Source organism: Homo sapiens, chromosome 12 (assembly GCF_000001405.40).
Source record: "Homo sapiens chromosome 12, GRCh38.p14 Primary Assembly".
Lineage (NCBI taxonomy): Eukaryota > Metazoa > Chordata > Mammalia > Primates > Hominidae > Homo > Homo sapiens.
Window position 1 is genome coordinate 56,076,844 of NC_000012.12, and position 26,664 is coordinate 56,103,507.

A 26,664-nucleotide genomic window follows, 5' to 3' on the forward strand; every position below is an offset into this window, starting at 1 on the left:
CAGAACTCGGACCCTGAATACCAGGTTGAGCTGGAGCTGAGTGAGTAATAAAATGAAAGGCCCTTTAATGTGGGGGAGGGTAGGTAGGAGTGGAGACCCTTAAGTAGTATCAGCACTGTTGTCTGATGGGAGTGTGAATCTGAACACATGAAGCTCCAGTCTCAGTAGAACAGTAAGAAATCCTAAGTAAGGCCAGGCATGGTTCACATCTGAAATCCTAACAATTTGGGTAAACTGAGGTGGAAGGATTGCAGAGGCCAGGAGTTCAAGACCAGCTTGGGCAACATAGCCAGACCCCCACCCCCACCCCCGCATCTCCATATCATACAAAAATAATAAAGAAATCCTAGGTAAGGCCAGATGGTAAGGCCAGGTGTGGTGGCTCATGCCTGTAATCCCAGCACTTTGGGAGGCCGAGGTGGGTGGATTGCCCAAGGTCAGGAGTTCAAGACCAGCTTGGTCAACACAGTGAAACCCCGTCTCTACTAAAAATACAAAAATTAGCTAGGTGTTGTGGCAGGCACCTGTAATCTCAACTACTCAGGAGGCTGAGGCAGGAGAATAGCTTGAACCCAAGAGGCAGAGGTTGCAGTGAGCCAAGATCGAGCCATTGCACTCCAGCCTGGGCACCAAAAGCGAAACTCAGGAGAATGCCTTGAACCCAGGAGGCAGAGGTTGCAGTGAGCTGAGATCACGCCATTGCACTCCAGCCTGGGTGACAGAGCGAGACTCCATCTCAAAAACAAACAAACAAATAAACAAAGTAGCCAGACATTTTGGTGCCCACCTGTAGACTCAGTTACTAGGGAGGCTGAAGTGGGAGAATCACCTGAGCCTGGGAAGTTGAGGCTGCTGTGAGCCATGATTGCACCACTGCACTCCAGCCTGGGTGACAGAGGGAGATCCTGTCTCAAAAAAAGGAAAAAAAGCCAGGTGTGGTGGCTCACACCTGTAATCCCAGCACTTTGGGAGGCTGAGGTGGGTGGATCACCTGAGGTCAGGAATTAGAGACTAGTCTGGCCATCACAGTGAAACCCCATCTCTACTAAAAATACAAAAAATTAGCCGGGCTTGGTGGCGCACGCCTTGTAGCCCCAGCTACTTGGAAGCCTGAGGCAGGAGAATCACTTGAACTCAGTAGTGAGCTGAGATCAGGCCACTGCACTCCAGCCTGGGTGACAGAAACAGAACAAGATTCCGTGTCAAAAAAAAAAAAGCAACAGACCAGAAGGCCATGAGGTCAAACAAAACAATGTTTTGTTTTTGTTTTGAGATGGCGTCTCACTCTGTCGCCCAAGCTGGAGTGCAGTGATGCAATCTCAGCTCACTGCAACCTCCACCTCCCGGGTTCAAGCGATTCTCCTGCCTCAGTCTCCTAAGTAGCTGGGATTACAGGTGCCCACCATCATGCCCAGCTAATTTTTGTATTTTTAGTAGAGACGGTGTTTCACTATGTTGACTAGGCTGGTCTCGAACTCCTGACCTCAAGTGATCTGCCCGCCTCGGCCTCCCAAAGTGCTGGGATTACAGGCATGAGCCACCGCGCCCAGCCGAATGTTTTGTTTTTTAAGATGGAAGATATCCCAGCACTTTGGCAGGCTGAAGCAGGTGGATCATTCCAGCTTGGGCAACAAGAGCGAAACTCTGTCTCAAAAAAAAAAAAAAAGAAAAGAAAAAAAAAGAGAGAAAGAAACCCTAGGTAAAAGTCTGAGCCCCACCTCCCAATCACCTGATCACCTCAACCACTGTCACCAGGTGGATGACCTTGGAGAGGTCACACACTTCTAGTTCTGTAAAATGGGGAGTTATATTGCCTAAATCATATAATTTTTATGTTAAGTGACACATTCTCTAAGGCACTAAGTTTGAGGACATACTTTGTAAATGAAATGATATATGGAAATGTTTGTATATGTTAATGGTTTTGTTGTTGCTATTATTATTATGACTACTATACACATGGTCTGGAGAAAGCCAACCTCCCCAAAGCGGAGATTCTCCAGTAGAGAACAGGCCCTCTAGGTTGCATATCAATAGGGAGCATGTTTAAGGAATGTTAGCCGGTAGTCTTTGCTAGGTGTGAGGGGTGAAATTTTTCTTTATCAAGGCTCAACTGTTTTCGAAGTCTTCAGGCTTGAAGTTCTGGAGAAAACAACTAGGCTCTCCGGGCGAGATCCCGAATACCAGTTTAAGGGATTTGAAATGCAAGGCCGTCTGGGACTCCACTGCCACGGATGGGCACCAGGCGGCGCCGGTCGGATCCGTCCCGGGACTAGCAGGGCTTTGGGCAGCAACCCGCAGGGAGCCCGACCGCCTCTGGCCAGGTCCGGGCAGCTGGTGGGGGAGGTTCCAGAGGTCCACGCCATTCGTGGACGCAGTCTCTAGTGTCCTCTCCGCGTCCCACTTCACTGCCCCATCCCCTTTCCTGCGAGAGCCTGGACTTGGAAGGCACCTGGGAGGGTGTAAGCGCCTTGGTGTGTGCCCATCTGGGTCCCCAGAAGAGCGGCGGGAACTGCGGCCGCCCGGACGGTGCGGCCAGACTCCAGTGTGGAAGGGGAGGCAGCTGTTCTCCCAGGCGGCCGTGGGGGGCAGCAGAGGGGACGGCGACAGGTGCGGGAGCCCCTCCCGGGGTAGAAGTGGAAAGGCGGGCTCCGGGGTCTGTTCCCAGGCTGGAAACCACCCCCGCCCCCCATCCAAATCCCCGGGAGAGGCCCGGCCGGCGCCGGGTCTGGAGGAGGAAGCGGCCAGAGACAGTGCAATTTCACGCGGTCTCTGTGGCTCGGGTTCCTGGGCTGGGTGGATGAATTATGGGGTTTCGAGTCTGGGAGAAACTGAGGTGGCCTGGACGTGAGGCAAAAAACACCCTCCCCCTCAAAAACACACAGAGAGAAATATTCACATTCTGAGAGAAAATCCACCAAGTGAACCAACCGGCTAGGGGAGTTGAGTGATTTGGTTAATGGGCGAGGCCAACTTTCAGGGGGCAGGGCTTTGGAGAGCTTTCCACTCCCTCATTCATTACCCTTCCCTGGATCTGGGGGCTTTCGGAATCTCGACCTCCCCTTGGCCTATCTCCTGCAGAAAAATTAGGGTGAGCCCCATCCTCGATCTGCTCCGCCAAGTTGCGGGACCGCGGGGCGTGGCACGCTCGGGGCAGGCGGTCCGAGGCTCCGCAATCCCTACTCCAGCCTCGCGCGGGAGGGGGCGCGGCCGTGACTCACCCCCTTCCCTCTGCGTTCCTCCCTCCCTCTCTCTCTCTCTCTCACACACACACACCCCTCCCCTGCCATCCCTCCCCGGACTCCGGCTCCGGCTCCGATTGCAATTTGCAACCTCCGCTGCCGTCGCCGCAGCAGCCACCAATTCGCCAGCGGTTCAGGTGGCTCTTGCCTCGATGTCCTAGCCTAGGGGCCCCCGGGCCGGACTTGGCTGGGCTCCCTTCACCCTCTGCGGAGTCATGAGGGCGAACGACGCTCTGCAGGTGCTGGGCTTGCTTTTCAGCCTGGCCCGGGGCTCCGAGGTGGGCAACTCTCAGGCAGGTAAGTGGCGCGAGAGCACCGGCGGGCTCGGCACCTGGGAGCCGGAACCCAGTGCGCGCAGCCTCGGAGGGTATGGGCACGGTCTCAGGCGGCGCGGGGTTGTGGGTGCTGCCCCCGGTTTGCCAGGACCACCTGGGAGAGGGGCGGTCAGGCTCGGGTTATCGGCGTGGTCCGGCCGAGGGCGGCATTCCGGGACCCTCACGCCACCCTTCTCCAGAGCGTCGCCGACCCTCTAATTGGTCTCCCCAGAAGAGGCTGAGGCCGAAACAGTAGTTCACACTTCTGAGGGGCCCTGCAGGGAGGGGAGCAGGGAACTTCATTCTGTAAACAGGAGGTGCTTGGAGGTGGGGGCCTTGGCGGGAAGGGTCTCGGTTTGCTCGCCAACCCCCTGCCCCCCACCCGCGCCGATTTCAGCTACCCCTAGTTTCGTTGTTTTGCCGACAGGGCGGAGCTACAGAAGGTTGGAGGGGGTTGTTGTTCTCTGGTGTTGGAAAAACAGGAGCGGCACCTCCTCTTCCGTGAGTGAGCCTGCCCTGGGGAGGTCTGAGATTAACCAGAGGGCCAAGTTCAGGTGACATCAGGCAGGAGGCCCAACAGAGGCTGGCGCCCCCTTTCCTCAGTATAGCAGAGCTTAAGCAACATCTCTTTGTCAAGACCCAGGTCAACACAACTCATATTTATTGAGCATCTACTATACACAAGGCCCTGGGCCAGGAGCTGTAAGGGCAAGGATGTCCAGCCTCTGGTCTTTTCTCTCCCCAACCTGAGGATCAAGAGGGCACCTCTGCTACTTTCTAAGCCTCCTGCCTTGGGGAGTCCTTCCTGGGCTCAGCTTGTGCCTCCCGCCCCCATTTTGCTTATTGTCTGACACTGTCTCTAGGACCCTAGACAGAGCCCCGGATTGCTCTTCTCCAGTCCTCCCCCGACTCCCATGCTATCTGAGCCCACCCCTTTGGGGTGTCTCTGGGACCGTGGACACCTGAGGACTGAAGTTCTGTGGATCTCCTCCCCTCCCCTCAGATCTCAGCTTGGGGTTTGGCACAGCCAGGGCCCCTTCCCCAGTGTGGGAGTGGAAGAAACCACCTGTGCTTCCCTCACAGTTGCTGGGCCTAAATTTAGATCCTGGGATTTTTAGATGTGAACACTCCCAGCTGGTGGAGGGGGGTGGTCTGGGGACTGGCGTGGGAGGGAGCAGTGGAGTGACTGTATAACTGTCCCATCCAGACTCCTGCAATCTTCACCCAGAAACCCAGGAGTACCAGAGTCTGGCCACCCTCCCTGGGGAGGCAGGAGGCAGGCATGGTTGGGTCTCTTTACCCTTTATCTGGGTCCTGCAGCCTCTGGGCATCCGGCCCTGTCTCAGTCCTTCTATAGCCCCTTTGTCCTGGCTGTGATGGGGGTGGGGGATGTTGGAGGGGAGGCCTCTGGTTGAGGAGGGGCTGGAGATTCTGGCTCTATCCCACCCCTAGTGCTCTCTACCAAAGGAGGGCCTGTGACACTGCCCCTCCCTATGCTCCCGGTTCCTGGGTACAGCAGGGATTTTTATGATTCCCTTCCCCTGCCCTGCTCCCCAAGCTGCCTAGCTCCTCCCCAGAGGTGTTGTTTGTGCTCCCTTCCTGCCCAGGCCCTTTGCCCCCTGTTTGTGTAATATGGACTTTACCCTCAGGGTAGCAGGGAACTGGGCTACCTCTAACACTGTAGCCTTCCAAGCACAGACACAAAGTCTGCACAAACACTTATGGGCACGTGGGATAGATGGGGCCACCTGAAATACTTCCTGCAAGGAAACCCAACTATAGATTCCTGAGCCAGCAGGACCAATGTGTACGTGTTCGTGTGTACATTGTGTGTGTATGTGTGTGCCCACACTACTACTTCCCTGTGCAGAAAGCTTGGCTCCTCCCTTATCTGGGGAGAAGTGTTGGCACTATAACTTGGGAAAGGGGGTATCCTGCCAGGAAGGGGATTGGGGTGGGGCTGTTCCAGAAATGACTAACCTTCCTAGTCTCTTTCATTTCAACCCAAGGACCCTGGAGTTCCCAGCTCCTCTGGAACTAGCTCTCTTTGCTGGGACTAGCCAACCTTCATGGGGAGTGATAAGGAGCCCTCCAAGGTCAAGAAGTCAGACTAGGGGTGTATGTTATAGGAGGGATTGGGGCCTCACCAGTCTCCCTCCCTCCATTCCCACTGTTGCCTCCCACTGAGCTACCACCGCCTCAGGGAAGGGTGGCTGGAACAGGTGGTATCTACCCCCTACTCCCCACCCCACACATGGTCTTTCCCTGAACCAGAGGAAAGAGACTGGGGTAGGGCTTCAGAGTCCAGGACTTCCCATAGCCCGTTGTCCACCACATTTGCAAAGAAGAGTGAACTCCCAAGGCTGACATGCCATGTACCTCTAGTCTAGGCTCTCCCCTAGTGTGGGTGAGGATTGCCATGGTGAAAGGCTTTTTCATGAACCTCTTCTAACAATGAAATTGTGTGGAGGCTCAATATGGGGCATCTGCTACTATCTCTCTCCAGGTTCCTCTGTATTTGCTGAAAAATACTCTAGGGCTGGAAAGTGATGCTGAGGTTGCTAGAGTGTGTTGGGATGGGGGAGAGAGTGAGAAGGAAACCCTGAGTTTAGGAAGGCGGGGAGGCAACTAGCTCCTTATCTTTCAGCTTTAAAGACAAAGCTCCCATTGACCCCCCCTCACCCCAGCACTGCCAGAGCTCCCCCCTCTACTGAGGTCACTTGTCTGAGCCCAAGGCTTGAGGGTGGAGGGGAGTGCTGCTGAGGACGGGGTGTCTAGGGACAGGGTGGGGCAGCCCCCCTCCTGGATAGAATCGCCTCATTGTGGGCTGGACTGTGGCCCCAGGCACTGCCCCCACCCTCTGCCCCCATCCCACCCTCAGTAGACACAATAGGGGCTGTGTACTAGTCCCAAAGAGATATTTATTCCAGGACCTAGAGAGAGGCAGGATGAGGGTAGAGAAGTGAGTGCCCTAGTTGGAGGGGGAGAGGAGGGTAATCAAAGTTGCGGCCTTTTCCTAACTTCTCTTTTCTAGGGAGAGAAACAAATTCCCTGTCTTCCTTCTCAGTTAACCCCTTAGTACCCAAAAGAAGCACAGAGGGGTCCCAGGTTGAAAAAGGAAATCTTTTCACCTTCCCATTCATGGAATGGTAAGGGGATTCTGAGAAGAGAGAAAGCTCTCAGGCCACTACAGCTTCTGCCTATCGCTTGTGGGAGGGTTGGAGGCAAATGCCATCTGATCCTGTCTAATGTAACTGGAAGAGGGCAACCAAGGGGGTGATCTTTGGGGATGGCAGATGGGCTGAGAATTTGTGTCCAGCCCTCAGCCACTCTTCCCTCTGCTTTGAACAGTGTGTCCTGGGACTCTGAATGGCCTGAGTGTGACCGGCGATGCTGAGAACCAATACCAGACACTGTACAAGCTCTACGAGAGGTGTGAGGTGGTGATGGGGAACCTTGAGATTGTGCTCACGGGACACAATGCCGACCTCTCCTTCCTGCAGGTTAGTGAGCCCACCCTCCTTCCTCAACCTGCTCCTCTTTATTCTCCCCTAGAACCCTCCTTCCTTCTTCAGGGCTACCTTCTGCTGGAGTTCACCCTTCCTAAGACTCAGGAGTTCCTAAGATTCAAAACCGTGTATTTATGGGGACAGTGGCTGTCATCTGGGACCTATGGTCTCACTGTTGTAGCCAGGGATATATAGGGGGCAGGGTCAGGGGCAGGTGGTGTTCTGTGGATAGTGCAAGGTCAGCAGGGACTAGTGCAGAGAGAAACCTGAGGACCAAGAGGTTACCTGGGGAGATGAGGAAGGGGCCCTACTGGTATGAGGCACTTTGAGGAGAAAGCTGCCTGTCTTCACTCCCAGAAGTGACACAGCAGTGTGACACAGTCTACTCCCTACTCCCAAATAGGAATTAGCAAGAGTTAAGGCCAGGTGCAGTGGCTCATGCCTGTAATCCCAGCACTTTGGGAGGCCAAGGAAGGCAGATCACTTGAGGTCAGGAGTTCAAGACCAGCCTGGGCAATGTGGTGAAACGCTGTCTCTACAAAAATACAAAAATTAGCTGGGTATGGTGGCATGCACCTGTAGTCCCAGCTACTTGGAGGGCTGAGGTGGGAGGATTGCTTGAGCCCAGGAGTTTGACGCTGCAGTGAGCGAGATTGTGCCACTCGTAACAGAGCGAGACCCTGTCTCACCAAAAAAAAAAAAAAAGGCCAAGCTCGGATCACCTGAGGTCAGGAGTTCGAGACCAGCCTGACCAACATGGAAAAACCACATCTCTACTAAAAATACAAAATTAGCCAGGTGTAGTGGCACATGCCTGTAATCCCAGCTACTTGGGAGGCTGCGGCAGGAGAATTGCTTGAACCCGGGAGGTGGAGGTTGTGGTGAGCCAAGATCGCACTATTGTACTCCAGCCTGGGCAACAAGAGCGTAACTCCGTCTCAAATTTTAAAAAAAAGAAAAAAAGAAAGGAAAGAAAGAAGGAAGAATTAAAACAGTTAAAGAGTCTTTAATGCCTGAAGGAGGAGAGGAGATTGAGATTATTTTGCCCTGTTGTCTCTCTCATTTACATAATCTGCTCTGTCACAGTGGATTCGAGAAGTGACAGGCTATGTCCTCGTGGCCATGAATGAATTCTCTACTCTACCATTGCCCAACCTCCGCGTGGTGCGAGGGACCCAGGTCTACGATGGGAAGTTTGCCATCTTCGTCATGTTGAACTATAACACCAACTCCAGCCACGCTCTGCGCCAGCTCCGCTTGACTCAGCTCACCGGTCAGTTCCCGATGGTTCCTTCTGGCCTCACCCCTCAGCCAGCCCAAGACTGGTACCTCCTTGATGATGACCCAAGACTGCTCACTCTAAGTGCCTCTTCCAAGGTGCCTGTCACCTTGGCCGCTGTCTAAAGGTCCATTGCTCCCTAAGCAATAGAGGGCCCCCAGTAGGGGGAGCTAGGGGCATCTGCTCCAGGGAAAGGAACCCTGTGTCCTTGTGGGGCTGGAGTCAGAGCTGGATCTGTTAACCGTTTTTCTAATTTCAAAGTACAGTGTACCGGAGGCCAGGCCTGATGGCTTACACCTGTAATCCCAGCATTTTGGGAGGCCAAGGAGGGCAGATCACTTGAGATCAGGAGTTTGAGACCAGCCTGGCCAACATGGCGAAACCCTGTCTCTACTAAAAATACAAAAAAATAAAATAAAATAAAAAATTAGCTGGCTATAGTGGTGCGCACCTGTAATCCCAGCTGTTCATGAGGCTGAGGCAGGAGACTCGCTTGAACCTGGGAGGTGGAGGTTGCAGTGAGCTGAGATTGCACCACTGCACTCTAGCGTAAGTGACAGTGAGACTCCGTCTCAAAAAAAAAAAAAAAAAAAAAAAAAAGCCTGGGCGCGGTGGCTCACGCCTGTAATCCCAGCACTTTGGGAGGCCAAGGCAGGTGGATCACAAGGTCAGGAGATCGAGACCATCCTGGCTAACACGGTGAAACCCCGTCTCTACTAAAAATACAAAAAATTAGCCAGGTGTGGTGGCGGGCGCCTGTAGTCCGAGCTACTCGGGAGGCTGAGGCAGGAGAATGGCGTGAACCCGGGAGGCGGAGCTTGCAGTGAGCCAAGATTGCACCACTGCACTCCAGCCTGGGCGACAGAGCGAGACTCCAAAAAAAAAAAAAAAAAAAAAAACCAAAGTACAGTATACCTGGATGTCCCTCCTTCCCTAGGAATTCTACCTTTACTCTCCTAAACCAAACCCCTATGAGCTGGAGGAATATAGGGGTTAAAAACCACCTGTCCATCTTCTGCTTCTCCATGTCCCAGTCAGTTGGAAAACATATGGGCAGGGCTTGGGGGAGGGAATGTTGAGTCAGAAATCTCTCCCTCTCTCCCTTCCCCTCCCCCACTAGCTAAACCGGATCTGGACAGGTGACTGAGGAGGCAGGAGTTTCTTTTGGCCTGACTCCTCATCTTATAAAGGGAGTCTTCTCTGCAGCTTAGATTTAATTGGACCTATCTGTCTGCCTCATTCTCCCACTCCTGAGTCTCAGGTGTCCTTTTGGATGGGTGGAGAGGTAAGGAAGAGGCGTTCCGCTGCGGCCCTTAACCCTGTCACTTCTTTCCCTACCTCAGAGATTCTGTCAGGGGGTGTTTATATTGAGAAGAACGATAAGCTTTGTCACATGGACACAATTGACTGGAGGGACATCGTGAGGGACCGAGATGCTGAGATAGTGGTGAAGGACAATGGCAGAAGCTGTAAGTGGCCGTGATCAAGATTGCTCCCCAGTCCCACCAAACCAGAGTGACTCCCTTCTTTCCATCATCCTTACATTCCTGATCTGAACCCGCCTCCCCAGTGAACAAACACCTCAGGTCCCTGACTCAGCAGCCCACCAGGGCAGACCATTCCAGTCTCCTGGAATCTAAACCACAGAGGAGGTGTTTCAAGAAAAGGAGCAGGCCGAGCATGGTGGCTCATGCCTATAATCCTGGCACTTTGGGAAGCCAAGGTGGGAGGATCGCTTGAGCCCAGGAGTCCAAGACCAGCCTGAGTAACATAGCAAAAAATCTACAAAAAATTAAAAAAATCAGACAGGCGTAGTGGCTCGCACCTGTAATCCCGGCTACTCAGGAGGCTGAGGCAGAGGATTGCTTGAGCCCAGGAGGCTGCAGCTGCAGTGAGCTGTGATTGTGCCATTGTACTCTAGCCTGGGCAACAGAGTGAGACCCTGTCTCAAAAAAAAAAAAAAAAAATCCCTGAGTACTAAGCAGGGAAGCCAGATCTTTAGACTCCACATCTGTTACTCGTTCCACTAGAATATACTCCCATTTCCTTGGAGCCCACCTTCCCCTGACCATTCACATGCATATATTCCTGCATATATTCAGTTTGCCCAGGAGGAACTAAGTTCCTGGGTTGGGACTAGGACTAAGGTTGGCATTTGCCCCAGTCCCTCCCCTTCAGCTGCCCAGTGGGTGGTGTGGAGGCGTGGCCGCGCCCCTTGTTGACAGGTCCACTTGAGCCCAGCCCTGCTCTCCAAGGGCAGGGAGGGACACAGCCCTGGCTTTTTGCTTCCCGGGATTGAGGTGCCTGTGTACTGACATCATACCCCGTTGATTAAAACAAGCCTTTCTTAGCCCTGATGGCCCCTTGTGTTGCCTTCCTTCCCAACCAGGTCCCCCCTGTCATGAGGTTTGCAAGGGGCGATGCTGGGGTCCTGGATCAGAAGACTGCCAGACATGTGGGTTTGAAATTCCCTCCAAAAACTTCACTCATACGCTTTCATATCCCTTCCTCCCCAAGCCTGGGTCAACACTGTGGGGGAGGCATGAGCAGTGGCCTCAGAATTCAGTCCTAGGAGCCCTAACAGCCATGCTTTCTCTCCTTCCATAGTGACCAAGACCATCTGTGCTCCTCAGTGTAATGGTCACTGCTTTGGGCCCAACCCCAACCAGTGCTGCCATGATGAGTGTGCCGGGGGCTGCTCAGGCCCTCAGGACACAGACTGCTTTGTATGTACCCTTTCCATTGCCTGGGTTCTGAAATTGGGATGTGGCCTTTGAGGAGGAGGTAGGGGTACACACGTAACATAAATCTGATGAGCCTCCTTTTTTCCCAGGCCTGCCGGCACTTCAATGACAGTGGAGCCTGTGTACCTCGCTGTCCACAGCCTCTTGTCTACAACAAGCTAACTTTCCAGCTGGAACCCAATCCCCACACCAAGTATCAGTATGGAGGAGTTTGTGTAGCCAGCTGTCCCCGTAAGTGTCTGAGGGGAAGGAACAATGATCAACAATAGTAGATCCAAGATTTTAGACAAAATTGTGGAAGGGAAAAAGAATCCAGTTGGTGATAAATAGGGAGATTGGTGAATGGTTATGATCATCTAACCACTCCAGTGAGTGACCCTTACGTCCAGTCCTCCCATGACTTCAGCTATCACCCTTACTTCTGCTCCTTGTAGCAACAAATAGTGAAGAGACTTTTGAATCTATAGGGCAGCACTTAAGGGATCTAGGGTGGCAGATGGGGACAAATCCAGTGCAGAGCTGGAGGGAGCCTAGGCCCAGAGCAAGGGTTCCATTGGTAGCTGGTGATGTTCCTCCCTCATCTCTAATGGTGTCCTCCTCCTCTTCCCTAGATAACTTTGTGGTGGATCAAACATCCTGTGTCAGGGCCTGTCCTCCTGACAAGATGGAAGTAGATAAAAATGGGCTCAAGATGTGTGAGCCTTGTGGGGGACTATGTCCCAAAGGTGGGTAGGAGATGGTAAGAAGTTGTAAAGAGACAGCCTTTCCTCTGAGCCTGCGCAGACCACCCCCACTGAACCTCTCTTACATTTGCAGCCTGTGAGGGAACAGGCTCTGGGAGCCGCTTCCAGACTGTGGACTCGAGCAACATTGATGGATTTGTGAACTGCACCAAGATCCTGGGCAACCTGGACTTTCTGATCACCGGCCTCAATGGGTTAGAGATCCTGCCTTCCCTCCTTAGACCCCAGCCCACGCACCCCTCACAGTTCATTTCATTGGCCAAAACTTTCCTATGTGGAGCTGACTAGGAATCAAAGTCATAAAATTCTAGCCTGTTACAAAGGACCTGAAAGAATGCTTAACACATCCTCCATCCAGGCCTTCGGTCCCCTCAGGAACATCTTTGAGCAATTCAATATCGCCCTGCCAAGGAACAAGGGACAGGAACAACATATCCTCCTTCTTAAAGTTTTCTTTTTTATTCTTTTTTCTTTTTTGAGATAGGGTCTTGCTCTGTCACCTAGGCTGGAGTGCAGTGGCGTGATCTCGACTCACTGTAGCCTCGACCTCCTGGGCTCAAGTGATCCCAAGTAGCTGGGACTATAGGCACACACCATCATACTTGACTAATTTTTTTGTATTTTTTTGTAGAGACAGGGTCTTGCTATGTTGCCCAGGCTGATCTCGAACTCCTGTGCTCAAGCAATCCTCCCATCTTGGCCTCCCAAAGTGCTAGGGATCACAGCACCCAACCTCCTTCTTAAAGTTTTGTAAAAGTTCTTCCTTAGATTTGGATAAAAATCTGTCTCCAGGCTGGGCCCGGTGGCTCATGCCTATAATCCCAGCACTTTGGGAGGCCGAGGTGGGCGGATTACGAGGTCAGATCGAGACCATCCTGGCTAACATGGTGAAATGCCATCTCTACTAAAAACACAAAAATTAGCTGGGTGTGGTGGTGCACATGCCTGTAATCCCAGCTACTCAGGAGGCTGAGGCACGAGAATCACTTGAACCCAGGAGGCGGAAATTGCAGTGAACCGAGATTACACCACCGCACTCCAGCCTGGCGACAGAGCGAGACTCTTTCTCAAAAAAAAAAAAGAAAAGAAAAGAAAATTCTGTCTCCCCATGACTTTTAGCTGTTTTCACTCATTCTGCTCCTTGGAGCAAAAAGAACAAAGGGACTTTCTAGTCTATAGGACAGCATTTAAAATGTGTGTGTGTGTGTAAAAAAAACCCACTATGACCACCTGTTTTTTTTTTTCCTTTAATTTTTTATTTTGACATAATTTTAGATCTACACTAAAGTTGCAAGAATGGTATAAAATTCCCCATATACTTTTTTTTTTTTTTTAAGACAAAGTCTCACTCTGTTCCCCAGGCTAGAGTGCAGTGGTGCAATCTTGGCTCACTGCAACCTCCGCCTCCTCTGCCTCCCGGGTTCAAGCAATTCTCCTGCCTCAGTCTCCTGAGTAGCTGGAATTATAGGTGTGTGCCATCATGCCCGGCTAATTTTTGTATTTTTAGTAGAGACAGGGTTTCACCATGTAGGCCAGGCTGGTCTCGAACTCCTGACCTCAAGTGATCCACCCGCCCCAGCTTCCCAAAGTGTTGGGATTACAAGTGTGAGCCACCGCGTCTGGCCCCCCATACACTCTTTTACCCAGATCCTCCAAATGTTAACATACCACATATGGCCGGGCACAGTGGCTCATGCCTATAATCCCAGCACTTTGGGAGGCTGAGGCAGGTGGATCACTAGGTGTGGATCACGAGGTCAAGAGATTGAGACCATCCTGGCCAACATGGTGAAACCTCATCTCTACTAAAAATACAAAAATTAGCTGGGCGTGGTGGTGTGCGCCTGTAGTCCCAGTTACTCAGGAGGCTGAGGCAGGAGAATAGCTTGAACCTGGCAGGCAGAGGTTGCAGTGAGCCGAGATCGCGGCACTGCACTCCAGCCTGGTGAAAGAGCGAGACTCTGTCCCCCGCCAAAAAAAATACCACATACGCTTTATCACTTCTCTCTCTCTCTGTCTCTCTCTACACACACACACACACACACAAAACACATGCTATTGTTTTTCTGGACCACGTGAGGGTAAATTTTCACACATGGTTCTTTCTTACCCCTGTTATATTTCAGCGTATATTCCTTAAAAATAATATTTTCTTACATAACCACAGCATAGTTGTTTGAATCGGAAAATTAACATTAACACAAAATATTATCTAAGCTACAGACCTTATTCAGATTTCACTAATTGTCCTCCTAAGGTTTGGGATCATACATTACATTCAGTTATCGTGGCACTTCAATCTCCTTTATAACAGCTCCTCAGGTTTTGTTTATCTTTCATGATATTCTTGATGAGTATAGATTAGGTAATGGGCAGCATGTTCTTCAGTTTGGATTAGTTTGATGTGTCCTCATGATTAGATTCAAGTTTTTGTAGTTTTTTTTTGAGACAAGGTCTGGCTCTATTGCCCAGGCTGGAATACAGTGGCATGATCTCAGCTCACTGCAACCTCTGCCTCCCGTGCTCAAGCGAGCACCTCAGCCCCCTGAGTAGCTGGGATTACAGGTGCATGCCACCATGCTTGGCTAATTTTATATATATATATATATATATATATATATAAATAATATATATAAATATAAATATATATATATAAATAATATATATAAATATATATAAACATAAATATTATATACTATTTATATATTTATATATGTGTGTGTATATATATATATATTTTTTTTTTTTTTTGAGACGGAGTCTCGCTCTTGTTGCCCAGGCTGGAGTGCAGTGGCGTGATCTCAGCTCACGCAACCTCCACCTCTCAGGTTCAAGCCATTCTCTATAGAGACAGGGTTGCACCATGTTGTCCAGGATGGTCTCGAACTCATGAGCTCAAGTGATCCTCCTGTCTCAGCCTCCCAAAGTGCTGGGATTATAGGCATGCGCCGCTGCCAGGCTGGAGTTTGATAAGAACACCACAGAGGCTGTGAGCTCAGGGCATCCTATTGAGGATGTACGTGATGTTGATTTGTCCCAGCACTCACAATGATGTCTCTGGTCACTTAGTTAAGGTGATATCTGTCAGGTTTTTCTACTGTAAAGTTACTATTTTTCCATTCACAATTAATGAATGTCTTGGGATAATTGCCTGAATCAATTATTGTTATGATAGTTGCCAAATGATAATTTTCTAATTCCATTATTCCTTCTGCATTTGTTTGTTGGCATTCTACTGTTAGGAAGAGTCTTTCCAGCTGAGCACAGTGGCTTATGCCTGTAATCTCAGCCCTTTGGGAGCCAGTGGGAAAATTGCTTGGGCCCAGGAGTTCAAGGTTACAGTGAGCTATGATGGCACTACTGCTCTCCAGCCAGTGCACTCACTCTGCACAACAGAGTGAGACCCTGTCTCTTAAAAAAAAAAAAAAAAAAAGGCCAGGTGCAGTGGCTCATGCCTGTAATTCCAGCACTTTGGGAGGCCGAGGCGGGCGGATCACAAGGTCAGGAGTTCAAGACCAGCCTGGCCAGCATGGTGAAACCCTGTCTCTACTAAAAATACAAAAAATTAGCCAGGCATGGTGGTGTGCTCCTGTATTCCCAGCTACTTAGGAAGCTGAGGCAGGAGAATCACTTGAACCCAGGAGGTGGAGGTTGCAGTGAGCTGAGATTGCTGCCACTGTACTCCAGCCTGGGCGATAGAGCAAGACTCTGTCTCAAAAAAAAAAAAAAAAAAAAAAAAAAAAAAAGGTCTTCCTTTCCTATTTACTCTTATGGATACTTATTTTATTCTAGTCAATGGTTATAATCCTTTACAATCATTATTTATTTTAGCCAGCCCCTCCAAGTTGGCTCCTGTGTTCTTTGGGCTGTACCCTTAATTCTTTGAGTCTTGTCTTGTTTGCACAAGATGCTCTGGGCTTATATTATATTTCCCCCATCCCAGCCATTTCTCCAAGGAATGTTTCCTTTTAGTGGAGAATGATATTTAGAAACCAAATGCTGAGGCTGGGTGTGCTCATTGCCATTGAGTTATACCTTTACCTTATTGACTGGTTTCTACTGTTCTATTCAGAGACCCCTGGCACAAGATCCCTGCCCTGGACCCAGAGAAGCTCAATGTCTTCCGGACAGTACGGGAGATCACAGGTGAGTGGCAGAGAGTTTGCCCTTTCTAGAAGAATAGGTGAACCACTGGCATAAATTGCGGTATAACTACTTGAGAAAATCACGTCCCAAGTTATAGGGGAGGAGCCAGGAGAACCCAAGAAAGAAGAAGGCTCCCTGCCCATATGCCTCTCTCCAACCCCTCAGGTTACCTGAACATCCAGTCCTGGCCGCCCCACATGCACAACTTCAGTGTTTTTTCCAATTTGACAACCATTGGAGGCAGAAGCCTCTACAAGTGAGTAAAGGGTATGGAGGAAATGGCATCTTCAGGCAATGAAGCCTGTGTCATAGGCATTCTTTAGTAAAATACAAGGCACTGTCTCATACAGCAGTGCCTCAAAACCAAAGGGTTTCAGAGTTTCACGAGGAAAAGGCAAAAGGAGGGGGATTCCCTCTCAGTGGATCTGACTAGCACTGAGCAAATTTCTTGACTAACATGAATCCTTTGAATAGTTAATGTTCCCTTAGTAGTCTCTCCTCTCATCCTGTCTCCTTATTCTCAGCCGGGGCTTCTCATTGTTGATCATGAAGAACTTGAATGTCACATCTCTGGGCTTCCGATCCCTGAAGGAAATTAGTGCTGGGCGTATCTATATAAGTGCCAATAGGCAGCTCTGCTACCACCACTCTTTGAACTGGACCAAGGTGCTTCGGGGGCCTACGGAAGAGCGACTAGACATCAAGCATAATCGGCCGCGCAGAGACTGCGGTGAGGGAAAGGGTCTGCTAGGTGGTGAGAATAGGGAGTCAGGGAGGAGAGGGCTGAAAGGACTATTCTGCCCTAGACGTGGGAGTAGGGTTGAGGGATGGAACCAAGGAGAAGGGGGCTGTTAGGCTGGAAGCAGTAACGAGGAAGAATAATGAAGAGAGGGCTTGCTGGGAGTCCTCAGACTCCTCTCCTAACCCACCCCTTCCTTTCCAGTGGCAGAGGGCAAAGTGTGTGACCCACTGTGCTCCTCTGGGGGATGCTGGGGCCCAGGCCCTGGTCAGTGCTTGTCCTGTCGAAATTATAGCCGAGGAGGTGTCTGTGTGACCCACTGCAACTTTCTGAATGGGTACAGTAAGGGGAGCCAGTCAAGGATGGGTGGGGGTGGGGCCCTGCAATGGAACTGTTCAGGTGGCATACAATAAAAGTCTTTAGACAGCTTTCTGCATGTGCCTTGGTGGGATTGAGGTAGGAGACCTGTGGTTGTGAGATCGGAGCATGAAGGTCAGGACTTGGAAGTGACCCCCCCCTCCCTTTATTCCCCACTACAGGGAGCCTCGAGAATTTGCCCATGAGGCCGAATGCTTCTCCTGCCACCCGGAATGCCAACCCATGGAGGGCACTGCCACATGCAATGGCTCGGTATACTAGTAGCACCAGGATCTCCAAGGGAGACAGAGAAGGGGCAATACTTGGAGCATCTGGGGAATGATATGGCTAAGGATAGCACAGAGAGGCCAGATAATGCTAGGGCCTGCAGATAGAAGATCCTGAATGTCTGGGTTGGTCTTTGCTGGGAGGTATGGAATTGACCTTGGGATCTGATTCTTCCTGACCTTCTCTCTTCCACTCAGGGCTCTGATACTTGTGCTCAATGTGCCCATTTTCGAGATGGGCCCCACTGTGTGAGCAGCTGCCCCCATGGAGTCCTAGGTGCCAAGGGCCCAATCTACAAGTACCCAGATGTTCAGAATGAATGTCGGCCCTGCCATGAGAACTGCACCCAGGGGTCAGTGATGGGATAATAAGGAGAGGGGGTCAGGTGGAAGGGTAGGAGCACAGAACTAGAGTGAGGGAAGCAGAAAGAAGAGAGAGGCTGTGATTCAAGAATCACTCCCAGCTGGCCGGGCGCAGTGGCTCACACCTGTAATCCCAGCACTGTGGGAGGCCGAGGTGGGTGGATCACCTGAGGTCGGGAGTTCGAGACCAGCCTGACCAATATGGAGAAACCCTGTCTCTACCAAAAATTTAAAATTAGCCCGGCGTGGTGGCGCATGCCTGTAATCCCAGCTACGCGGGAGGCTGAGGCAGGAGAATTTCTTGAACCCAGGAGGCAGAGGTTGCGGTGAGCTGAGATTGCATCATTGTACTCCAGCCTGGGCAACAAGAGTGAAACTCTGTCTCAAAAAAAAAAAAAGAATCACTCCCAGCTGTGTAGCGAAGGATTGGAGAAAGGGAAAATCAGTAACAGCACAAAATTACACCACAGTTTTGGGAACCTGGAATAACCTCAGTTCAAGGGAGTTTCACAGAAGAGGGGCTTGGGGAGAGCTAGTGAGCTGGAGGTGGAGGCCATGTCTTGGGATCAGCTCTGGGCTCCAGGATGGGATGCCACGGTAAGTTCTGAAACAAGCTTTTATATGTTAGGCTGTTGAAATTGAGCCTCTGCTGTCCAAGCTCTCATTTAAGGTGGTGACTTTCTTCCCTAGGTGTAAAGGACCAGAGCTTCAAGACTGTTTAGGACAAACACTGGTGCTGATCGGGTATGATGGGGTTGGAGATTCTGGAAACTGGGGATATTTGGGAGTTGGGAGAGAGGTGGTTACCTGGAGAGAAGAGGGAGGCTGTCTTCATTCTGGCCTTTTATGTATGCAGTCCACTATCACTGGACACTTGGGACTCAAGAATGCAGGCTTCTGGACTTCCCTTCCTAAAATTAACTTTCAGTAGTCTAAGACTGGTCCAGATTTAGGTTGGTCCCTTCAGTGCTTAAGGATATATATGTGAATGTTAATTTCTTGCCCCAGGTCAGCATCATACCTTCAACACAAGTATAGTTGACATTTGTAAGGAAGATGCAAACCCAGGATAATGTTGGGTTTCTATATATCCCATAGCAAAACCCATCTGACAATGGCTTTGACAGTGATAGCAGGATTGGTAGTGATTTTCATGATGCTGGGCGGCACTTTTCTCTACTGGCGTGGGCGCCGGATTCAGAATAAAAGGGCTATGAGGCGATACTTGGAACGGGGTGAGGTGAGTACTTAGCTTACTTTTGTTTTTTCTTTTCTTTTTTTGCATGTCCTGGAAGTCTCTTTATAGCTTAATTTTGAGTGGTACCCTGTGCACCCAGGGGTCAGTGATGGGATAAATGTCACTCCCCTCCTCTTTCCCCAGAGATTTGATCCCTTTCTTCAAGGAAGTAGTGTGGTCCCCTAGAAGAACACTGGTCAGAGAAATGGGAGGCATGCATTCTAGTCCTGATTTTGCCATTAATTTGCCACATGACTTTGAAGAAGTTACTTATCTTCTCTGTGCCTCGGTTTATGCATCTATACAGAGGAAATAACATTTGTCCTTCCAGGATGGCTGTAAGGGTAAAGGGGGATGATGTATGTGAAAGTGCTTTGGAAAGCACAGAGCACTGTATAAAAGGTACTCAAGGTGGTAATAGTACTACCAACTCTCCCTAGCTGTCCCCTTCCCCACTTTGTGCTCCTCCATCAAAGGGAAAACCCAACCCCTTTGATTCCTGATCTCATGAGCACAAATAACTTCCTCAGTTCTCAGGGTCTGTACCTCAATATGCCTATAATCCATTCCAGGACTAACGGTGCTTCCTCTTCCTGCCCTTTCAGCTGTGCTGCTTTTGGCATTCACCTATGAGGAGCGGGTTGGAGTGGGACATGGGAATGGCCTTTCCTGAGTAACTCCTTCCCATTTGCTCCTCAGAGCATAGAGCCTCTGGACCCCAGTGAGAAGGCTAACAAAGTCTTGGCCAGAATCTTCAAAGAGACAGAGCTAAGGAAGCTTAAAGTGCTTGGCTCGGGTGTCTTTGGAACTGTGCACAAAGTGAGTGACCCATAGGAATTCTGGAGAGGTGGGGAAGGCATCTAGGGCAAAGGGGTGAAAGATTTTTGCATAGGATTGACCTAGGGAGAATGACCTTATGCCAACTCCTGCCCCAAACTTCCCAGGGAGTGTGGATCCCTGAGGGTGAATCAATCAAGATTCCAGTCTGCATTAAAGTCATTGAGGACAAGAGTGGACGGCAGAGTTTTCAAGCTGTGACAGATGTAAGTGAAGGAAATTCTGTATGCCGCTAGGAGAGAGGACAATATTAGATACAATCATGTAGAAGCAGGGTCCTGTGCTTCTCAGCAGCTACTATGTTAGCCAGAATGTTGGGGGTGGGGGGGCCTGGGCTGGCTGTGCACATGCTGAGTGTATGTGAACCTGTTGGTTTCCTAGATAATACCTTTTGTGTCTCTTAGCATATGCTGGCCATTGGCAGCCTGGACCATGCCCACATTGTAAGGCTGCTGGGACTATGCCCAGGGTCATCTCTGCAGCTTGTCACTCAATATTTGCCTCTGGGTTCTCTGCTGGATCATGTGAGACAACACCGGGGGGCACTGGGGCCACAGCTGCTGCTCAACTGGGGAGTACAAATTGCCAAGGTGAGAGAAGCCTGGAGGAATTCTGTGATAAGAACTGCTTGTCTGGGGGCCAGCCAGGAAAAAGTGAGAAGGTTGAAGTTCTGAGAGGTGAGGTCCCCAACCCCCGGGCTGCAGACTGGTACCAGTCCATGGCCTGTTAGGAACCAGGCCACAGAGCATGTGAGCGGCAGGCAAGCGAGTGAAGCTTCATCTGTATTTACAGTCAGTCCCCATCACTTGCATTACCGCCCGAGTTCCGCCTCCTGTCAGATCAGGGGCAGCATTAGATTCTCTTAGGAGCTTGACTTCTATTGTGAACTGTGCATGTGAAGGATCTAGGTTGTGCACTCCTTATGAGAATCTAACTAATGCCTGATGATCTGAGGTGGAAAAATTTCATCCCAAAACCAACCCTCCCCTTCCCCTGGAAAAACTGTCTTCCACAAAACCAGTCCCTGGTGCCAAAAAAGGTTGGGGACCACTGCTGAGAGGTACCTTCAAGATTTGGGGGAATTCCAGATCTCAGTGACTGATTCCCCCAACCTTAAGAATACTTTCTTCCCCTATACCTACAGGGAATGTACTACCTTGAGGAACATGGTATGGTGCATAGAAACCTGGCTGCCCGAAACGTGCTACTCAAGTCACCCAGTCAGGTTCAGGTGGCAGATTTTGGTGTGGCTGACCTGCTGCCTCCTGATGATAAGCAGCTGCTATACAGTGAGGCCAAGGTGAGGAGACACAAAGGGTAAGGAGGCGGGGGTGGAGTGAAGCATGGGGATAGGGAGCAGCCAGTGGTCTCTTCCAGAGGCAAGCAGATGCTTCATGGTAAGTTCAAGGAGAGAAGGCTGCAGATGCCAGATATTTTAGTTCAGAGGGCAACAAATAAAATAATGATCAAGAACTTGGGACTGGCCGGGCGCGGTGGCTCACGCCTGTAATCCCAACACTTCGGGAGGCCAAGGCGGGTGGATCACAAGGTCAGGAGATCAAGACCATCCTGGCTAGCACGGTGAAACCCCGTCTCTACTAAATATACAAAAAAAAAAAAAATTAGCCAGGCGTGGCGGCATGCATCTGTACTCCCAGCTACTCGGGAGGCTGAGGCAGGAGAATGGCGTGAACCCAGGAGGCGGAGCTTGCAGTGGGCCGAGATCGCACCACTGCACTCCAGTCTGGGCGACAGAGCGAGACTCCGTCTCAAAAAAAAAAAAAAAAGAATTTGGGACTTGGAAATCCTAAGAAAATTTGTGGAAATAAACTTGTGATACCTCTATCTTTAATCCGCAGACTCCAATTAAGTGGATGGCCCTTGAGAGTATCCACTTTGGGAAATACACACACCAGAGTGATGTCTGGAGCTATGGTCAGTGCATCTGGATGCCCTCTCTACCATCACTGGCCCCAGTTTCAAATTTACCTTTTGAGACCCCCTCTTAGAATCTCTAAGCACTTCAGATTTTTGTGTTAGATCAGGTTCTGCCTTCCCTTCACTTCATGCCCATGTCTACTATTTTGCCAGTGACTAGTCCATGTCTTCCTGCAACAGGTGTGACAGTTTGGGAGTTGATGACCTTCGGGGCAGAGCCCTATGCAGGGCTACGATTGGCTGAAGTACCAGACCTGCTAGAGAAGGGGGAGCGGTTGGCACAGCCCCAGATCTGCACAATTGATGTCTACATGGTGATGGTCAAGTGTGAGTTACCTGCTGAGCCCAACCATTTTCTCTTTTTTTCTTTTTTTTTCTTTTTTTTTTTTTTTTGAGACAGAGTCTCACAATTGTCACCCAGGCTGGAGTGCAATGGTGCAATCAATCTTGGCTCACTACAACCTCCGCCTCTCGGGTTCAAGAGATTCTCCTGCTTCAGCCTCCGGAGTAGCTGGGATTACAGGCGCCCGCCACACCTGGATAACTGTTACACTTTTAGTAGAGATGGGGTTTCACCATGTTGGCCAGGCTGGTCTCAAACTCCTGACCTCAGGTGATCCGCCTGCCTCAGCTTCCCAAAGTGCTGGGATTACAGGTGTGAGCCATCATGCTCGGCCTGACTGCAGCCATTTTCTGACTTCCCTCTGTACTCCTCTTATGGCTCTATTCCTTTTTTTTTTATGGAGTCTCGCTCTGTTGCCCATACTGGAGTGCAGTAGCGTGACCTTGGCTCACCGTGACCTCCACGTTCCAGGTTTAAGTTCTTCTGTCTCAGCCTCCCAGATAGCTGGGACTTTAGGCGTGCACCACCACGCCCAGCTAATTTTTTTTTGTCTTTTTAGTAGAGATGGGGTTTCACTATGTTGGCCAGGCTGGTCTCAAAGTCCCGACCTCAGGTGATCCACCCGCCTTGGCCTCCCAAAGTGCTGGGATTATAGGTGTGAGCCACCGCGCCCGGCCATGGAATGTATTCTCTTTTATGTCTCTACCTCCTACATCTTATCTCCAGGTTGGATGATTGATGAGAACATTCGCCCAACCTTTAAAGAACTAGCCAATGAGTTCACCAGGATGGCCCGAGACCCACCACGGTATCTGGTCATAAAGGTGAGTAGGGAGTAGGAGGTGCTAAGGAAATTTAGAAAAAGGAGGAGTTGGCTGGAACCAGGATTCCCCCTAACAATCACCTATCGATATAGAGAGAGAGTGGGCCTGGAATAGCCCCTGGGCCAGAGCCCCATGGTCTGACAAACAAGAAGCTAGAGGAAGTAGAGCTGGAGCCAGAACTAGACCTAGACCTAGACTTGGAAGCAGAGGAGGACAACCTGGCAACCACCACACTGGGCTCCGCCCTCAGCCTACCAGTTGGAACACTTAATCGGCCACGTGGGGTAAGACAACTTCTAATTACCCAACACTTTGCACCCTGAGCCCTCACAAACCCTACAGATACCCAGATTAACTACTCAAAGGCCCCCATGGTGAATGTAGATTTCTCCCTTCATCTTAACCTTTTCCTTATTTTTTCATCCTAGAGCCAGAGCCTTTTAAGTCCATCATCTGGATACATGCCCATGAACCAGGGTAATCTTGGGGAGTCTTGCCAGGTAAGTTCTGTTGCTGAGAGGCTGGGTTTTAGGATCAGATTGATACGAGTAGTATGGAAGACATTAGAAACCTCTGAGGTTTAATCAGTGTCCTGCAAAAAAGAAGGCAGTGAGGGCCGGGCGAGTTGGCTCACACCTGTAATCCCAGCACTTTGGGAGGCCAGAGAGAGTGGATCACCTGAGGTTAGGAGTTTGAGACCAGCCTGGCCAACATGGTGAAACCCCGTCTCTACCCAAAATACAAAAATTAGCTGGGTGTGGTGGTGCACACCTGTAATCACAGCTACTCAGGAGGCTGAGACAGGAGAATCGCTTGAACCCGGGAGGCAGAGGTTGCAGTGAGCTGAGATTGTACCACTGCACTCCAGCCTGGGTGACAGAGCAAGACCCTGTCTCTTAAAAAAAAAAAAAAAAGGCCAGGTGCGGTGGCTCACGCCTGTAATCCTAGCACTTTGGGAGGCCGAGGTGGGCGGATCATGAGGTCAGGAGTTCGAGACCAGCCTGACCAACATGGCAAAACCCTGTCTGTACTAAAAATACAAAAACTAGCTGCACATGATGGCAGGTGCCTGTAATCCCAGCTACTCGGGAGGCTGAGGCAGGAGAATCACTTGAACAGGGAAGCAGAGGCTGCAGTGAGCCAAGATAATGCCACTGCACTCCAGCCTGGGCGACAAGAACAAGACTCCACCTCAAAAAAAAAAAAAAAAAAAAAAAAAGGCAGTGAACAACCCAATATCCTTCTAAACAAATCTCTCTTCTTTCCTCATCATGTAAATTTCCTTGCATTATTTTCTGTTTATTTTCTTCCTTAGGAGTCTGCAGTTTCTGGGAGCAGTGAACGGTGCCCCCGTCCAGTCTCTCTACACCCAATGCCACGGGGATGCCTGGCATCAGAGTCATCAGAGGGGCATGTAACAGGCTCTGAGGCTGAGCTCCAGGAGAAAGTGTCAATGTGTAGGAGCCGGAGCAGGAGCCGGAGCCCACGGCCACGCGGAGATAGCGCCTACCATTCCCAGCGCCACAGTCTGCTGACTCCTGTTACCCCACTCTCCCCACCCGGGTTAGAGGAAGAGGATGTCAACGGTTATGTCATGCCAGATACACACCTCAAAGGTGCCTGACTCTTCCTAGGGCTTTCCTCAATTTTTCCTCGAATTCTTTCCCCGGGCTCCTCTTTTTTCTTCTCTGATCATATGCCTCTCTGTCCTATTAATTTTTTCAAACTTTCCCCTACCCTCATGAAGTTCTTCACATACCTAGCCTTTCTTCTCAACCCCCAGGTACTCCCTCCTCCCGGGAAGGCACCCTTTCTTCAGTGGGTCTCAGTTCTGTCCTGGGTACTGAAGAAGAAGATGAAGATGAGGAGTATGAATACATGAACCGGAGGAGAAGGCACAGTCCACCTCATCCCCCTAGGCCAAGTTCCCTTGAGGAGCTGGGTTATGAGTACATGGATGTGGGGTCAGACCTCAGTGCCTCTCTGGGCAGCACACAGAGTTGCCCACTCCACCCTGTACCCATCATGCCCACTGCAGGCACAACTCCAGATGAAGACTATGAATATATGAATCGGCAACGAGATGGAGGTGGTCCTGGGGGTGATTATGCAGCCATGGGGGCCTGCCCAGCATCTGAGCAAGGGTATGAAGAGATGAGAGCTTTTCAGGGGCCTGGACATCAGGCCCCCCATGTCCATTATGCCCGCCTAAAAACTCTACGTAGCTTAGAGGCTACAGACTCTGCCTTTGATAACCCTGATTACTGGCATAGCAGGCTTTTCCCCAAGGCTAATGCCCAGAGAACGTAACTCCTGCTCCCTGTGGCACTCAGGGAGCATTTAATGGCAGCTAGTGCCTTTAGAGGGTACCGTCTTCTCCCTATTCCCTCTCTCTCCCAGGTCCCAGCCCCTTTTCCCCAGTCCCAGACAATTCCATTCAATCTTTGGAGGCTTTTAAACATTTTGACACAAAATTCTTATGGTATGTAGCCAGCTGTGCACTTTCTTCTCTTTCCCAACCCCAGGAAAGGTTTTCCTTATTTTGTGTGCTTTCCCAGTCCCATTCCTCAGCTTCTTCACAGGCACTCCTGGAGATATGAAGGATTACTCTCCATATCCCTTCCTCTCAGGCTCTTGACTACTTGGAACTAGGCTCTTATGTGTGCCTTTGTTTCCCATCAGACTGTCAAGAAGAGGAAAGGGAGGAAACCTAGCAGAGGAAAGTGTAATTTTGGTTTATGACTCTTAACCCCCTAGAAAGACAGAAGCTTAAAATCTGTGAAGAAAGAGGTTAGGAGTAGATATTGATTACTATCATAATTCAGCACTTAACTATGAGCCAGGCATCATACTAAACTTCACCTACATTATCTCACTTAGTCCTTTATCATCCTTAAAACAATTCTGTGACATACATATTATCTCATTTTACACAAAGGGAAGTCGGGCATGGTGGCTCATGCCTGTAATCTCAGCACTTTGGGAGGCTGAGGCAGAAGGATTACCTGAGGCAAGGAGTTTGAGACCAGCTTAGCCAACATAGTAAGACCCCCATCTCTTTAAAAAAAAAAAAAAAAAAAAAAAAAAAACTTTAGAACTGGGTGCAGTGGCTCATGCCTGTAATCCCAGCCAGCACTTTGGGAGGCTGAGATGGGAAGATCACTTGAGCCCAGAATTAGAGATAAGCCTATGGAAACATAGCAAGACACTGTCTCTACAGGGGAAAAAAAAAAAAGAAACTGAGCCTTAAAGAGATGAAATAAATTAAGCAGTAGATCCAGGATGCAAAATCCTCCCAATTCCTGTGCATGTGCTCTTATTGTAAGGTGCCAAGAAAAACTGATTTAAGTTACAGCCCTTGTTTAAGGGGCACTGTTTCTTGTTTTTGCACTGAATCAAGTCTAACCCCAACAGCCACATCCTCCTATACCTAGACATCTCATCTCAGGAAGTGGTGGTGGGGGTAGTCAGAAGGAAAAATAACTGGACATCTTTGTGTAAACCATAATCCACATGTGCCGTAAATGATCTTCACTCCTTATCCGAGGGCAAATTCACAAGGATCCCCAAGATCCACTTTTAGAAGCCATTCTCATCCAGCAGTGAGAAGCTTCCAGGTAGGACAGAAAAAAGATCCAGCTTCAGCTGCACACCTCTGTCCCCTTGGATGGGGAACTAAGGGAAAACGTCTGTTGTATCACTGAAGTTTTTTGTTTTGTTTTTATACGTGTCTGAATAAAAATGCCAAAGTTTTTTTTCAGC

The 26,664-nt window shown here is 50.2% G+C and overlaps 1 protein-coding gene across 4 annotated transcripts, besides 2 other annotated features; it reads left to right on the forward strand.

Annotated features, from left to right (window-relative positions):
• Positions 1,105-1,154: an enhancer, noted in NCBI's record as "active region_6468". NCBI's record gives its function as "activates an Ori minimal core promoter by ATAC-STARR-seq in GM12878 lymphoblastoid cells {active_cell/tissue: GM12878}" and the evidence as "EXISTENCE:reporter gene assay evidence [ECO:0000049][PMID:35858748]".
• Positions 2,979-3,969: an enhancer, noted in NCBI's record as "H3K27ac hESC enhancer chr12:56473606-56474596 (GRCh37/hg19 assembly coordinates)". NCBI's record gives its function as "activates a minimal SCP1, AML or CMV promoter by ChIP-STARR-seq in primed H9 embryonic stem cells {active_cell/tissue: H9 hESC(primed)}" and the evidence as "EXISTENCE:reporter gene assay evidence [ECO:0000049][PMID:30033119]".
• On the forward strand, positions 3,265-26,662 carry ERBB3 (erb-b2 receptor tyrosine kinase 3). 4 transcript variants are annotated; one of them, NM_001982.4, is made up of 28 exons: positions 3,322-3,539; positions 6,908-7,059; positions 8,152-8,338; positions 9,688-9,813; positions 10,734-10,799; positions 10,952-11,070; positions 11,178-11,319; positions 11,700-11,813; positions 11,905-12,025; positions 15,904-15,977; positions 16,143-16,233; positions 16,502-16,707; positions 16,921-17,053; positions 17,256-17,346; positions 17,559-17,713; positions 18,414-18,467; positions 18,822-18,963; positions 19,660-19,779; positions 19,905-20,003; positions 20,202-20,387; positions 20,942-21,097; positions 21,657-21,732; positions 21,916-22,062; positions 22,805-22,902; positions 22,995-23,186; positions 23,331-23,402; positions 24,218-24,518; positions 24,686-26,662. In NM_001982.4, exons 1-28 carry the CDS (start codon positions 3,458-3,460, stop codon positions 25,210-25,212), a joined length of 4,029 nt encoding a protein of 1,342 aa, NP_001973.2. In that variant the 5' UTR covers positions 3,322-3,457; the 3' UTR covers positions 25,213-26,662. The 4 variants fall into 4 exon arrangements, with proteins under 4 accessions (NP_001005915.1, NP_001973.2, XP_047284456.1 ...); XM_047428500.1 differs by lacking the exon at positions 3,322-3,539 and adding an exon at positions 3,989-4,057; XM_047428501.1 differs by lacking the exon at positions 3,322-3,539 and adding an exon at positions 6,471-6,705.